We start from the raw sequence: 15537 nt of genomic DNA on the forward strand, positions 1-15537 counted from the left end.
GACCTCTTTCCTCCCTGATGCTGTGTCCTGGACACGCATATCTATATATTTTTTCTGGTTTATGCCGCGTATTTCTACACAGCACTTGCAATTCATTCTGAAGAATTATAATTTCTTTCTTCTATAGTAGTACTTACATACTGATCACTTCTCAACCCCTATCAGGGTATCATTGGCAGGTGTTGCAAACTATTCCTGTATTTTGAGTGCCCAAGACAATTTGAGTTTACCTGAGTTCTTCCATATAGGCCTAGGTTTCACTTGTCATTGTCTAGTTTTGTTATTTAAAGGCCAAGGTTTTCAAGATCACAACAGTACAGAATAAAATTCAGGAATTTTTTAAAATGTACATCAACCGACCTACTCTGTGTTTATCTATTGTCCTGGTGTCTCCCTTGCTCTTTGGGCTTCTCTTTGCTGCCTCCAGATCACTTTCTTTCCTCCTTTTTTGAAGCCCAGCTCCTTACATACATGACGTTAGAACAGGACCCTTCATTGCTGCACTTGCTTTTTTCCCTTCAGAACTCTCTTCCCATTCAGTCCTGTCTGCTACTAATCCTGTCATCATTCTTAACGACTACTCATCCCACAGACCATTTTTACATTGGTTTGGCTCCTCACTTTCTTGACTTCCTCACTTTTGAGGATTTTTTTTAACCTACTTTTTTTTTAAGAATTGCTTCCATGATTACAGTAAATATCTACTGAATAAATGCATGTCTTCCTCAGCTTGGAGATTTCTGAGGGTTGCAACTTTGTCGAATATTTTATCCATTAATCCTAACTGTGTATATTAGACAAGGAAGGTATTAAAAATCATGTTTTAAATCAGAAAATCAATAAATAGATTTAAAGAGACAAATGCAAAACAAAACTGTTTAGAGCTGCTGTTCTGGGCTGAACTACAGATGGACTGTGTAAGAAATAGTAAAATCATCTGGTAATTTCAACTTATCTTTAGAATCTTTGGCCGGAACAGCTCCAGGGAATCAAGGGATCATAGGTGGAAAGAAAGACAAAGAGGTTAAGGAAGTGAGAACTGGCTAGGGTAGCATTCTCTACCTTAAGGTTTTCAAACATAATATCAAGGTCCTCAGTTTATTTGTAATTTTTTTGAGGATGAAAGGAAATTATGCACGTGACCCAAGGTATACACAATAAGGAAACTGACACATGACTTTGCTGAGATGGAATTATATTAAAGTTCTGTGACACTCACAAACTCATCTCATGCTGATTAGAAACTGTGATTGGCAATGCTGTGTGTTACAAAAAAATTAAAAAATGATTCCTTTAAAAACATTATTTCTTTAAATCAGCATTTTCCAAAAATGGGGGAAATATTAAATACTATCCAATTTTGGTGGTGCAAGAAATAAAAAAGCTTAGGGGCTTCCAGTACCCCTGACCCAGCTGACCTTCCTTTCCCAGGTCCATGTCTTTTAATGTGCATTTACTCAGGGAAAGGGAAGTGTGGCTGTGCAGGAAAAGTGGCAATTTAGAAAACACAGGCTCAAGGGCTTGATGGAGGGTCCCAGAAGAGGGCAGGGCACTGGTGATCAGAGGGGATTAGAGGGCAAGCTGCTAGGGTAAGCTGTGCATCAGAAGTGGTTCCTTTTGTTTCCTTCAGCAGTAAATTTTTATTATCATTATTACTTTAGCTGTCCTCCATATCTACTTCTTTAGTATGGCTGGCTACTTCTCTTTCCAACTCTTTATGCACTACCGTGGATCTCACCCTAGGCAGAAACAAATCCCCAAACTCTCACCAGCTGCGCTCATGAAACAACCCTTCCTGGCAGGCTGTGATCTCGCCAAGAGCGATCAAGTTGATCAAGCTATAAACTGACTTCATCACTAGTCTAAAGAGGAAACTGTGGCAAGAACAGCTGCAGGAGAAACCCTAATTACAATGGGAGGAGAGACATAAGGATTTTAAAGCAGTTTTCAAACTAGTCCTTCTCAAGAACCAAACATATAAGGGATCACTGGGAGCTGTCTCTGAAGTGGGTTAAAGAGAAAAGAACAGACAAAGATAAGGTTCTGATGCCTGCTCTCTGTTCCTACAGATCTCTCCAGAAGTCACTGTAGACCTGCTACAATTTCCCTCACTTTGCTGTGACACAGCCTTTCTTCGTTGGTTCCTCCTCCCTATGACTTAAACCTCTCTCCCTCCCCTCCCCTATCTCCATTCTTCCAGAAAATTCCTCTGCCATTCCCAGAGACTTGCAGAACACTGGGGTTTGAAATACATTAAATAGATTTTTTTTTAATTAATAATGATCTCTGTTAAGTAACAAAAGTTTCATATGTGAATTGTGCACAAAAAAATTATAGTAAACTTCTGAGATAATGTTAGAAGGCTTATGTAATGATCAGGCTAGCTTTGATGAAGGAATTTGGGACTCAGGGTGAGAAGACAAGATAAGTTAGTAGACAATAAAATGAGTTGATTTATTCTGTAGTAGTTGGGAACTTGTTTAAAAAAATGGAGAAAGAAATTGTTGAAAACCCTAACTCCCTCAAGAGGTCTGGGAATCCTGTAGCTTACATGGAATAGAAACTGAAAGGGAATCGCTTGAACCCAGGAGGCGGAGGTTGCGGTGAGCAGAGAACATGCCATTCCACTCCAGCTTGGGTGACAAGAGCGAAACTACATCTCAAAAAAAAAGCATGATCAAATTTGAATCATAGCCAAATCTTACAAAAATTTTATGTGAAATATTTAATTTTGCCAAAAAAAAAATTGATGCAATGACCTCTACCCTTGTTCACCTTTTTTTATCTTCACTATGTCACAGAGAGTTTGGCACATAATAGATGATAAGTAAATTTATTTTGACTCTATTGAGTAAATGACAATAATATTTCACATTCTCTCAATATAATAGTTGAATTCTATGTGTACTTTCTTACTTAGCAGAGTTTCACTTCAAAAGGGGCTTCGTCCTCCACATGAAATACAACAGAGAGTCATTATGGCTAGTCTCAATTTTCCATACAACTTCTGCAATATTCCAAGCAAATGTGTTTCCCCAGTCAGGATTAATGACCAATGTTACACAGTATCCTAACCACATCTAAAGCTGGAATTTGCAAACATCCTTTTGGAACAAAGAAATTTATGTTATAATAGTATTTATCCAGTCTCATGATCTGGTAAAATAAATTCTTCACCACAACCACATTTTCCCAAAACCACATTTTTTGAGGCTGGAAACATCATCATCTCAGAAAGCACCCTAAAACACTGTAAGAAAAATTCACCGTGCTCGGTAATAGAATCTTATCATCCTTGCAATAAGAAGATACCGTGTGTATGAGTGCGAGTGTGAGAGTGTGCATGTGTTTATATGTGTGAGTGTGTACACGTGTGTGTGTGCATTTTCTCATGGAGACTCATCCACATGAAAATAGTTTCTCTTTGGATTTCATTACTAAGAGGCACTGGGTGATTGGTGGAGCTCATAGGCAGTTCTGGGGAGTGACAGGAAATGTCAGACCACTCAATCTGCCTAAGTTATAGCTGATAGGGTTGTTTATTTCAAGACTTTCTATAAATTAAGAATTAAATATGAAAAAGCCCAGAGACCTCCATTATAAAATGCACTATCTAAAATTCTGTAAATAATCCAAGTACAAAATATGAAGAGATATGTGTCTGATCAATCAAAAGGAGACATGGAATATCGCGTTTCCAGGCTGGATCTGTTTGATCTCTTCAAGCTGTTTTACTTTATGCCCTGTGTTATTCAGGGTTCTCTCTTTCATCTTATCATATGAATTGCAATTATGTAACATTTATCAGCAATCAAAATATTGGTTAATGCACCCTTTTGTCTCCACTGGCTAAGGGTGGATTTGAAGATCAACCCTAAATTGGCCTGCTTGGGAAAGCATTGAGGTTGTGTGTGTGAGAGGGTAGGGTTTGTAGGAGCGGAGATGCGGGAATCCCTGTTCCTGATTTGGACAATCTTGAGCACATCAGTTCAGAAAGTGTGAATCCATGAGACTCTGGACAGTTGGCCACGTGGAGGCACTGTGGCTTCACAATGCAGTGGGGAACCTTGGAGAGCGGTGGGAGGGTGACCCAGGAGAGGAGGGCTGAAGGGAAGCCTGGTTGTCTGCTGGCATCAGCAGGGCAATCTGAGTTCAGAGTGGATCCTGAGTTAAATACTGCCAGAGAAGGGTAGGGGTGCCAAAGGCCTCAATTTGCCCCAAGGAAAAAGTGTCTCTGTGTCTGTATGGACAGTGGAGGGTGCTGAGGCTGGGGTGTCAAGGGCTGGGGAATGCTTCTCAGGACAGGGACAGGGTGGGCAGGCATAGGAAAATAGGGGTTGTTGTGAGCATGTGGGCACTGTGCTGCACCTGCCCCACCTTTCGTTTAGGGGCCCTGCAGACCAGGAATGGAACATGGAATAGCAGAGCCTGAGGCCTGCCTAAGTATGCAGTGAGCTCACAGTGTCCTGCAGGGCCAGTAACTGGAAAGGCCAGTTTCCTATGGAAATGCCAGAAATATTCCTGCCCTGACTGAGGTTCAGGATCTGGTGGCAGCCTTTCCCAGGCACTCTCTGCTGCTTCTTTTTTTTTTTTTTTGAGGGCATCTTGCTTTGCTCTGTCACCAAGGCTGGAGTACAGTGGCTTGATCTCAGCTCACTGCAGCCTCTGCCTCCTGGGTTCAAATGATTCTCCTGTCTCGGCCTCCTAAGTAGCTGGGATTACAGGCACCCACCACAACGCCTGGCTAATTTTTTGTATTTTTAATAAAGATGGGGTTTCGCCATGTTGGCCAGGCTGGTCTCAAACTCTTGACTTCAAACAATCTGCCTGCCTCGGCCTCCCAAAGTGCTGGGATTACAAGTGTGAGCCACTGTGCCCGGCCCCTCTGCTGCTTCTTTATGTGACCTGTTTTAATTCTGACAGAAATCATTCAAAATAAGTATTATCTTACCTGTTTATACATTTGACTGAAGCAGCTTTCCTGGGTCTCACATACGCTTAGATGGAAGAAACCAGACCTGGCATTGGATAGATCAGTAGTAGTGTGACAGTAGTTAACATCAGCCAATTATGCGTTTCAAAATAGTGAGAAGAGAATAATTCAAATGTTCCTAGTCTAAAGAAAAGATAAATATTTAAGATAATGCCTATCCCAATGACCATGATTTGATTATACAAATGTATCAATGATCATATCTACCTAAAAAATATGTACATCTAATATACATCAATAAATAGTGAATTAAAAAAAAGATAACTGGCTGAAGCCTGTTCCTCCAACACCTCTATCCACTGTTCCCACTCTGTAGATTTGTCCTCTCACCTGGCCTTCCGTTTCCAGGTCCCCATTAGCAGGAGGGGAAGATTATGCCACATATGTGATCATTATAGCCTCTCCACTGACAAGTCCAAGGAGGATATGACTTCCAGGCAAAACATCTTTTCATCTTTCATTGTGACAAAAATCAAGGTTCAGTTTTCTCCACTATAGCAGTTCTATGGGTGAGGCCATGTGATTGCTTTTATGGAGGCTGTGTGAGGAGGGAGGTTTCTCAGCTGCACAGCAAGGAAATAAGATGTTGTTTAAGGAAAGCACAGTCTTCCAGTACCTGATGCAATTTACCATGAGGGAAAAGACACAAATAATTGCTATTCATTAGTTAATTTTATTATTTTTTAATAAGACACAAAGTCATCTAAAATGCAAAGATAGTAGTCTGATAATTAGGTAAAACTAACATAAATGGTTGTGTCTTAAGGGAAAGTAAAAATGTTGCCCCTTACAGCACTTCCTGGTTGATACTGAGTCTGATATGCAAGAAGGTGTGATGCTCCCAGAAAGCTGTGAATTCAGAGCAATCAGCAATCCCACAAAAGAGCTGATAGAAGAATGGGCGGTTTTATTAGAAAGAAGAGGAGCCTCTAGTGCCTTCCACGACATCCTCACTGCCCACCTCTGATTTCAGGCTTGCTGTAGTGGACAGTTGTGTGCAAGTCCCCATTCGCCTCGATCTGGCAGTGCCCTTCCACAGGTGCATGCTGGGAGTCTCTCTGCTTCTTCCCCAGGGCTGTTCCATGATATTATCTGAGCCCACCTGGCCTGTACTCAAAGACAGCCAGAGCTCCTGATGCCCCTGCTGAGACAGAGGACTAATGCTCCAGCCTGCCCATTCATGCAGAAACTTCAGACAGCATTCTGTGTGCTCCTGAGAGGCCCTGATGGATTCCATCTCCTATTGCTCCAACACAAACTCTTTTGTTGTTTGTGCACTTTTATCCTGGCTTCTTCCTTCCCTATTTTATGTTTCGTTCCTACTTCTTCTTCCTGGAATCATTTCCCGAATAAGCTACATGCACCTAAGTCCCCATCACAGACTTTCTCTTCAGGGATAGCCTATACTGTGGCAGTGATGGGATGAAGCCACCATCCAAAGACCCTTCCCTTTGAAGGAGACCTTTGTTTTTCTTTTACTTATACCGCTACCCATTCGTTTAAAAAGTCTTATGATGACATATATAAACTAATCTCTTCCAGATTCATTTGGAATTATTCCTGAATTCTCAGCAGCCTCAGGATGGCTCTCTGTTCCCTTAAAGCTCTGAACCCAATTTGAACTGAATAGACTTGGGTTCTCTTTACAGAAGCAGAGTTTGCCTGGACCCAGGTAATCATTCATTCCATTTTTCTTCCATTCAACAAATCTTTAATGAGCTATAGGTGCAGAGTAGATTCAAGTTTTGTGGGGCACAAAGCTGATACAATTTTAAGGAGCTCCTTGCAAAGAAGAATGCAAAATGACAAAGTGTTGGAAAGGTCCTGTGTGAGTGAGAAGGCCCGAGGTTATTCTTCATTGATTTCATGGCAACTACATAGGTACTGTCCAGGTACTTGGGAAACACCAGTGGAGAAACCAGACAGAGCTTCAAGTTGAGGTAGACACTTCCAAAAAATTGTTATAACTTATTATACTGAATAATAATTAAAAAGTAAAAGGATATATTCCCCATAGATGCTTATGTCTCCAGAGAAGTTAGAGTGCTGTTGAAAGTACTGACATTCTGGGTAGCTCACACCTCATTTAGGGAAGGATCCTTAGAGCTCTGGGATTCTACGTGCCGTATCCCAAAAATGAAAGTCCTGCACTGAAAAGATTTTTTTTTCCCCTGCCCTGGCCCAACCACGAAGATTGGCCCCTTTGCTTGGTCTCCCAGGACCAGATGAGTTCTGGGCATAGATGGGAAAGTCCTTCCTTGGCTTACCAGGCCCCAGCCACGGCCTCCCATGGGGATGCTCATGGGCCTCCTCCCTGTCTCCACTTCTGATTCTGTGTCCTCTCTCACTGGAGCATGATTGTGGGAATTACCCATCCAGGTTGCATCAAGATATGCAATAGATAATCTATTGTATCTGAAATAACAATAGCAGTGCTATTGACTGGATGTAAGTTTGGTGCCAAAGCACGTTTACACCTCCTCCAATCTTCTCCCATTTAGTGAATACAAGATCTTCTGAATGGAAATAGAACATTTCCCTGTGACCCTAGAGACTCCAGATAGTTGTAGTTCTGGGTGAACATTTCATCCACATTCTTAATGAGCCTCCTCTTTTCTTCATAGGAAGTACAGTCACTTATGGGACTTAGGTGGTGAGTGTTTGTGGCTTCACCTGAAGCAAAGGGAAAAATCATCCTCATGAGAACACACCGCAGCCTGAGCTTGGATGGTGAGGCTCCCATCAGGCGCAATGAGGTGCTACAGTGTGAAACAAGACTTCAAATGTTAAAGACCTTGAATCCACAACTTTGAAACCTTTCTGGATGTCAGTTGACTCTTTTAACCAAGGGTATCTCTGTAGGCTGAAATACAAATATCCAGAGGTTAAACAAAGTGGAAAATAATTCAACTTGGAGTTGAATTTTGTACAGAGAAGTCATAAAAGTCACCAGGACTGCTATGACAATGCTCTTTAGACTACAGAAATATTCATAAATGTTAAAACAGCATTCAAATGAAGAATTTAGCATAATGGGAGTAAAATACGCATAGAAGAACAAATTCCCCTATTAAAATCAGGGAATGAGATTACACATTTTAAGATTTCTTTCAAAACAGATCTACAAATTTTTCCCAATCTAAGCTTCTCAAGTATGTCTATAATAAATGATTTGTTCCTGTGGGGAAGAGAACAGATGTGGCAGGTTAGCTCTGAGGTTCAAGCATTTAGCAGGGACAGTGACATCATCAAGTCACTGAGAGCTCAACTTCAATTTGCCCACAGCAGGGCTGGGAGACACAAGATCCTGCCCTGGAGCTGAAATGGGCACCAGGCTCTTCTTCTATGTGGCCCTTTGTCTGCTGTGGGCAGGTGAGGGCTGGTCACAGGAGGGCCTCCTTCCCTGGAATTCCCAAGGACTCAATGCAAGCTTTTCTGTTGGGATGACAGCATCAGTGTCTGTTGTTCTCTATTACAGGACACAGGGATGCTGGAATCACCCAGAGCCCAAGATACAAGATCACAGAGACAGGAAGGCAGGTGACCTTGATGTGTCACCAGACTTGGAGCCACAGCTATATGTTCTGGTATCGACAAGACCTGGGACATGGGCTGAGGCTGATCTATTACTCAGCAGCTGCTGATATTACAGATAAAGGAGAAGTCCCCGATGGCTACGTTGTCTCCAGATCCAAGACAGAGAATTTCCCCCTCACTCTGGAGTCAGCTACCCGCTCCCAGACATCTGTGTATTTCTGCGCCAGCAGTGAGTCCACAGTGCTGCACAGCTGCCTCCTCTCTGCACGGAAACGGCAGTTAGAAAAACTGAGGTTGCCTGTGCACCCAAGTCTGGGCCCCACCCTGGGACGTCTCAGCCCCCATAGGAGTCACAGAGTCCTGCCCAGGTTGGGGGGGTGTCTTAGAGCAGGGGCCATATGACCCTCAGTGCTGTGGCTCTATTCCTACCCCTGTCTCAGACCATCTGGAGTTTGCCCCAACACACTAACCTTGCTGGGTCTTTCTTCTGCAGCTCTCTTTTTCTGCTTGCAGAATGGAAGAGATATTTTGTTGATATTCCTAATTCCCTTCATAATTTCAAAGCCAACATATTCTTCTCTCCCTTATGGGATCAGTGACTTCTTCGTGTAAACCTTACCGTATCCTCTACTACCCTTCAACTCACAGACACAAATCTTCCCCCATGTGGTCTCTGCTCCTGGCTGCCTTTCTTCTAAGGGCAATAGCCCTACAAGGTCATCTATCATTTGCCCTTCACCTGCTTCTCCATCATCATTTTGTTTTTTTTTTTTTTTTTTTTGAGACGGAGTCTTGCTCTGTTGCCCAGGCTGGAGTGCAGTGGCGCGATCTCGGCTCACTGCAAGCCCGCCTCCCGGGTTCGCGCCATTCTCCTGCCTCAGCCTCCCAAGTAGCTGGGACTACAGGTGCCTGCCACGGCGCCCGGCTAATTTTTTGTATTTTTAGTAGAGATGGGGTTTCACGGTGTTAGCCAGGATGGTCTCGATTTCCTGACCTCGTTATTCACCCGCCTTGGCCTCCCAAAGTGCTGGGATTACAGGCGTGAGCCACTGCGCCCAGCCTCCATCATCATTTTGCATTAAGTTTCCCCTGGCTTTCTGCTTTAGCCACACTCCCCTACATTCAGTTACAGCTTCGTAGGTGTAGTGTTGTTTTCCACCCTGGGGATTGTTTATGAATAATAGATTATTTCTACTTCACTGAGCATATGTGCCTCCAACTTATTCCCAGGCCTCCACTTCATTCCTTACATAAAAGTCTATTTCAGGTACATTTACTCTTAACTGTAAAAAGCAAGACAAATTTTATGAGAGAAAAATTAAGAAATATATTTTTAGCACTCATTTGAGGAATTAGTTTTTTAGATGACACATAAGAAAACCACTAGCCATAAAAATATTTGAGGCCGGGCGCGGTGGCTCATGCCTGTAATCCCAGCACTTTGGGAGGCTGAGGCAGGCGGATCACTTGAGGTTGGGAGTTCGAGATCAGCCTGACCAACATGGAGAAACCCCGTCTTTACTAAAAATAGAAAATTAGCTGGGCATGGGGTGCATGCCTGTAATCCCACCTACTCAGGAGGCTGAGGCAGGAGAATCGCTTGAACCTGGGAGGCGGAGGTTGCTGTGAGCCGAGATCATGCCGCTGCACTCCAGCCTGGGCAACAAGAGCAGAACTCCACCTCAAAAAAAAAAAAATTTGTAACTCCAGTTGCATTAAACTAAACTTTTGTACACCAAAACATAGCATAAGAAATGAAATGTTAAGCCACAGCACAGGAAAAAAATGAGGAATGCATGCAGATGATGAAAAATCAGTGTGACAGAGAAGAGTCAGGCTCACCCATGGCTCCTCTATGCTTCCTGGCCTCATTTGCACTTGGAGGGCTGGGAGCATGTCACCAGGTTCTGAATAGTGGGAGGTGAGTAAAAATAATGTTAGCCCAATTTCAAGTCTGGCCCTTAAAAATATCCTGTAGGTCCATGCTGAGGGTCCCTAAGCGTACTCCCGTGTTTAGAGATGTGGTATATGGCATAGAGTTGTACTCACAGCTAAGATTTTCTAACATGTCTTAGTAAGTTGTCAGCAGCAGATCATATGGAGAAAACACAGGTGGAATCTGAAGGAATCCAAACTCAGGCCTCCTTATGCTGTCTTCCTCCCGGGGAGGTCACACAGGGTTCTCGCTTCACTCCGTAGCAAAAATGCATTAACACATGTGCAGTGTTTCTACCAAGTGAGTCCATCAGAGACTCAGCACTCATGAGGTTTCAGAGGAGGCTGGTCACAAGCACATACTGCCTAGCATTAACCAAAAATTCAGACTCCAGAAGGAAATCTGGTGTTCAGTACAATACTGTTTGCAACACCAGTCTAGGCACAACGAGCCGCTCCTCTCAGTTAGGAGAAACTTTGCCAGTGCAGGGCACCACTCATCAGCCAAGTGGCCAAAGATCAGCCAAAGTTCAATCTTGCAAGCAGGCAGTCTCAAGCCTGCTGTCAACTCTTTTCTGCACAGACACTCTTCAACTCTCTTTTGCCATGTGTGGATGAATTTGGGAGGTCATGGCACAGATTATAAACTGGAAGCAGCTTGGCTCCCTGGGTCATAATTTGGTGGACAGCCATGGAAAAAAAGCTGCTCATGCCCCACTGGGTTTTGTGGTCATGAGAGGTAAGACTTGATAGAGTTCAGCCACTGAGATTTTAGGATTTGTTTTATTTTTTTTTTTCTGTAGCATAGGTGTCCTTTTCTAATAAACTTAGTACGTAAATGAGTAAAACATTCTTATTAATAAGACGACAGCCCAATAAAAATGGCAATACTGAAGCTAAATAGGCAATTCACACAAGTGAACATAAGTTACCACTAAACATGAGAATAACTTTTCAACCTTACTTGTAATCAGAATATAGCAACCTGAAATAATAAGTTATGATTCAAAAATTACTAGATAGGAAACTTTTCAAAGGAGTGACAGTCCTAAATCTGAATAGACATTTGGACTAATGAAAACCGTTTATATATCCACTACAAGAGATAATGACAACCACATCAGAAAACCCACTGTGGGATATATTGTGACTAATAGCATTTCTTGAGAAATTATGAGTGTATATAAATCATTTGGGTTCCTTTTCTTGTCTTTAGGTTCAATCGTAGAAAATTCAACTTTAAGTATTTATTTTTCCTATTGTAAAGGTAGTTTTTTAAAACAATCTTTTAAAAAAGTGGGCTGGGCATGGTGGCTCACACTTGTAATCCCAGCTACTCAGGAGGCTAAGGCAGGAGAATCGCTTGAACCCAGAGGCACAGGCTGCAATGAACCAAGATTATGTCACTGCACTCCAGCCTGGGCGACAGAGTGAGACTCCATTTCAAAAAAAAAGGGTGGGTGGCAGGGGGAAATATGTGTAACATATAATTTTGTCACTTTATTTTTAAATTGTACAATTCAGCAGCATTAAGTACATTCACTATGTTGGGAAACTGTCACCATTATCTGTTTCCAATTTTCTTTTCATTGCCTCAAACAGAAACTCAATACCCACTAAAGAATAACTCCACATACCCCCTCTTTCTGCTAACCTCTAATCTAATTTCTTTCTGAATGAATTTGCCTATTGCAGATTATTTATGTGAAACCATGCACTATTTTTCCTTTTGTGTCTTGTATCTTTCACTTAGCTTAATGCTTTCAAGGTGCATTCATATTGTAGCATTTATCAAAACTTCATTCCTTTTCATTTCTCAATAATATTTTGTTGTATGCATATACCACATTTGTTTATCCATTCATTAATTGATTAACATTTGGGTTGTTTCTACCTTGTAGATATTGGGAATAATGGTGCAATGAATATTGGCCTGAAAATATCTGTTTGATGCCCTGTTTTCAATTCTTTTGGGTATATACCCAGGAGTGAAACTTCTGGGTCCTTTGGTAATTCTATGTTTCTCCTTTTAAGTAACTACCAAAATGGTTTTTTTTTGGTTGCAGCTGCACAATTTTAGATTCCTACCAGCAATGTCATTTCTTCACAGAATTGCCAGCATTTATTTCTTGTTTTTCTTTTCAAAAATATTATTATGATGATGATTACTATTTTGTATAGCCATCCTAGTCAGTGTGAATGATATCTCATTGTGGTTGTGATTTGCATTTCTCTAATGACTAAAAATGTTAAGTGCCTTTTCTTATGCCTATGATCAATTTGCACACCTTCTTTGGAGGTAATGTTTTTTGTCTGATCGGCTTTTTTGGGGTCTCTCTTGACTTTAGAATTATGTTGGTGTACTGCGACAATGCTAAAAGAAATTGAGTTTGAACTTCATTTGGGAGGTTTGTGGTTGGTAGTGTTTTTAGTGCGGTACTTCTTAAACATTTTTAATATACCATAGAAGAGAGAAAATGATTACATTTTGATATGATTTGGCTGTGTCCCAACCCAAATCTCATCTTGAATTGTATCTCCCACAATTCCTACGTGTTGTGGGAGGAACCCTGTGGGGAGGTGATTGAATTATGGGGGCCGGGTCTTTCCTGCTGTCTCATGATACTAAATGAGTCTCTTTTAGATCTGATGGTTTTAAAATGGGATTTTCCCTGCACAAGCTCTCTCTTTTATGTTGCCATCCAAGTAAGACATGACTTGCCCCTCCTTGCCTTCTGCCATGATTGTGAGGCCTCCCCAGCCATGTGGAACTGAAAGTCCATTAAGCCTCTTTTTCTTCTCAGTCTCTGGTATGTCTTTATCAGCAGCATGAAAATGAACTAATACATATCGTGATTTAGGGAACTCCTTTTTGGATTGAATTTAACTGGCAACCTCTGAGCTTTCTGTACCTGGATATTGCTAACTTTTTCCAGATTTAAGGAATTTTCAACCATGTTTTATATATGCTTTTGGGACTGGAACAGGATATGGACATTTTTCCAATGCATCACTCCACAGATTACTACTCAGTTACAGAGGGTAAAAGACATATTAAAAATGAAGAGATCCAGTGTCAGTTACCTCAAATATACATTGACAAAACTGCATAAAAATGACATTCCACATTCTTGCGATTGACCAGATGCAATAGGAAATACACATCATCTGTGGTGTATATTTGCCAAGTAACTAACCTCTAATAGTATAGAAATTCTTGTTGTGGCTCATTTTACAACTAAGCTGACCTAGGCACTTCAAAAACTTATAATCATGAAAAACAGGAAATATAATAAGTGGGTGGAAGAGATGTATAATTTAAAAGTAACTAAGGAGAACTGCTAACCTCATGAAATACGTGATCTTTGATTTTGTTCTAGAGGAAAAGTGAATCAAAACCAAGGGACATGCTGAGACAACTGGAGAAATTTGAATGTGAAGTATGTACTAGATGACAATGCTATGTGAATGCTAATGTTTTGGGCATAATAGTGACATTTGTGGTTATATAAGATAATGCCAATTTTTTAGGAGACTCATTTTATTATTAAGGATAAAATGCTTCAGAAATTGAGGGCAAAATATATAGAGAGAGATCAAGCAAAATCACAAAATGTACAATCGGCACACAGATATACATTTTAATATTCTGACTATTTCATTATTCTCTCACCTTTTCCATAGATGCTCAGTTTAAAAAAATTGAAGAAAAATATTAACAGACCAAAATAAAATGTTGGTGTTATTTCAGAGTAATAATGTTGTTGGGTATTTCTTATATTCATTTTTAATATATTTGAAATACTATGTCATTACCATAAAATAAATATATCAAATAAGGTATCTTTTAGTCTAGAGTATACTTTTTTAAATAGGAGACAGGCTATGATTTTTAAGAAAGTCCCAAAAGAAAACAAGAGAATTTGCAGTCTGAGGACAAAGCAGCTTGGTATCTCTGAGACCAGTGCAAAACTTAGCTAGTAATGCATGTCAAGAGGCCTTTTAGCAAATATACAGGACTGTTTTCTCTGTATCAAGAGATTCTGAGTATTCTACAGTTTGGCTGAAAACTCAAGAACTTTCAAAGGTGACTGAATGTAAAGAGAAGAGTAGTGATTTTCCAAAGTTAGGGCTGGACAATATGTATTTGTTCAACAAAGAGGGAGGCTGTCTCAGTTTGTCCTCTGCTGCTATAGCAGAATACCTGAGGCTGGGAAAATGTATAAAGAAATTTATAAGGAAAAGGGCTTTATTTGGCTTGCAATTCTGGAGGCTGGAAAGACCAGTAGGGCATCAACATCTACTGAACTTCTTTTGAGGGCTTTGTGCTGTGTCACAACGTGGAAGAGAAGTGGGAGAAATGAGCAGGCCTGTGCAAGGAGAGCCAGGATGAGCAAGACCCTCACTTTATAACAGCCTGCTTTTATGGTAACTAATCCAGATGCTGGAGAGAGAGAACTGACTCCTGGCATTAATCTTTGATGAGGGATCTACTCCCATGACCCAAACAATTCCCATAAGGCTCACACTACCCCAGAAAAATGTGAGCAATGTGCCTGTAGCAACACCACTACATTGACGAATAAGCTTCAACATGAATTTTGGTGGGAACACACCATAACTAAACTATAGGACAGGCTCTAGCAAGACAGTAAGAACAGATGGAACTGGGAAAAAATTTTCCCTGGTTTCTCACAAACACTGTCCTATATTAGCCCTGATTCTATTGAAGATAGTATAGAAGTCCCACCAGTATCTCTAAGCCATGGACCGAGGACCTAAGTCCAGTGACACTGGCCATCAGAAGGCACTGGGGTTTGATGATGTTCAAATGTTTTTGAAACAGCGCTCAGTGCTGCCTGAGATGTTAAGTTTAAAGGAAAAGTGTGTATACTAGTATCCAGTATCTTGTTTGCAGAAGTTGTGAGTAGTCAGTGAAATGTGAAATATTAAAAAAAAAACCCTTTATCTTTCATTGGTGCTGGCATGTTCTGCTCAGCAGTAAAATCTGAACTGTAGCAAATCTTTGAGTGGAGACTCTTCTGGGCTTGCATGGGAGGTAGATGGAGGAG

At 41.2% G+C, this 15537-nt stretch overlaps 1 gene segment (V, D, J or C) and 1 further gene, besides 3 other annotated features; both read left to right on the plus strand.

Annotated features, from left to right (window-relative positions):
• Positions 1-15537, plus strand: part of TRB (T cell receptor beta locus) — a 514277-nt gene that overhangs the window by 117689 nt on the left and 381051 nt on the right.
• Positions 8317-8766, plus strand: TRBV10-2 (T cell receptor beta variable 10-2). The segment is given in 2 exon segments: positions 8317-8365; positions 8472-8766. Coding segments are annotated over 2 exon segments (344 nt in total), but the record flags the coding sequence as incomplete, so codon positions are not given.
• Positions 8767-8773: a recombination feature (RSS_heptamer).
• Positions 8774-8796: a recombination feature (RSS_spacer).
• Positions 8797-8805: a recombination feature (RSS_nonamer).

The sequence above is a fragment of the Homo sapiens genome, chromosome 7 (genome assembly GCF_000001405.40).
Source record: "Homo sapiens chromosome 7, GRCh38.p14 Primary Assembly".
NCBI lineage: Eukaryota > Metazoa > Chordata > Mammalia > Primates > Hominidae > Homo > Homo sapiens.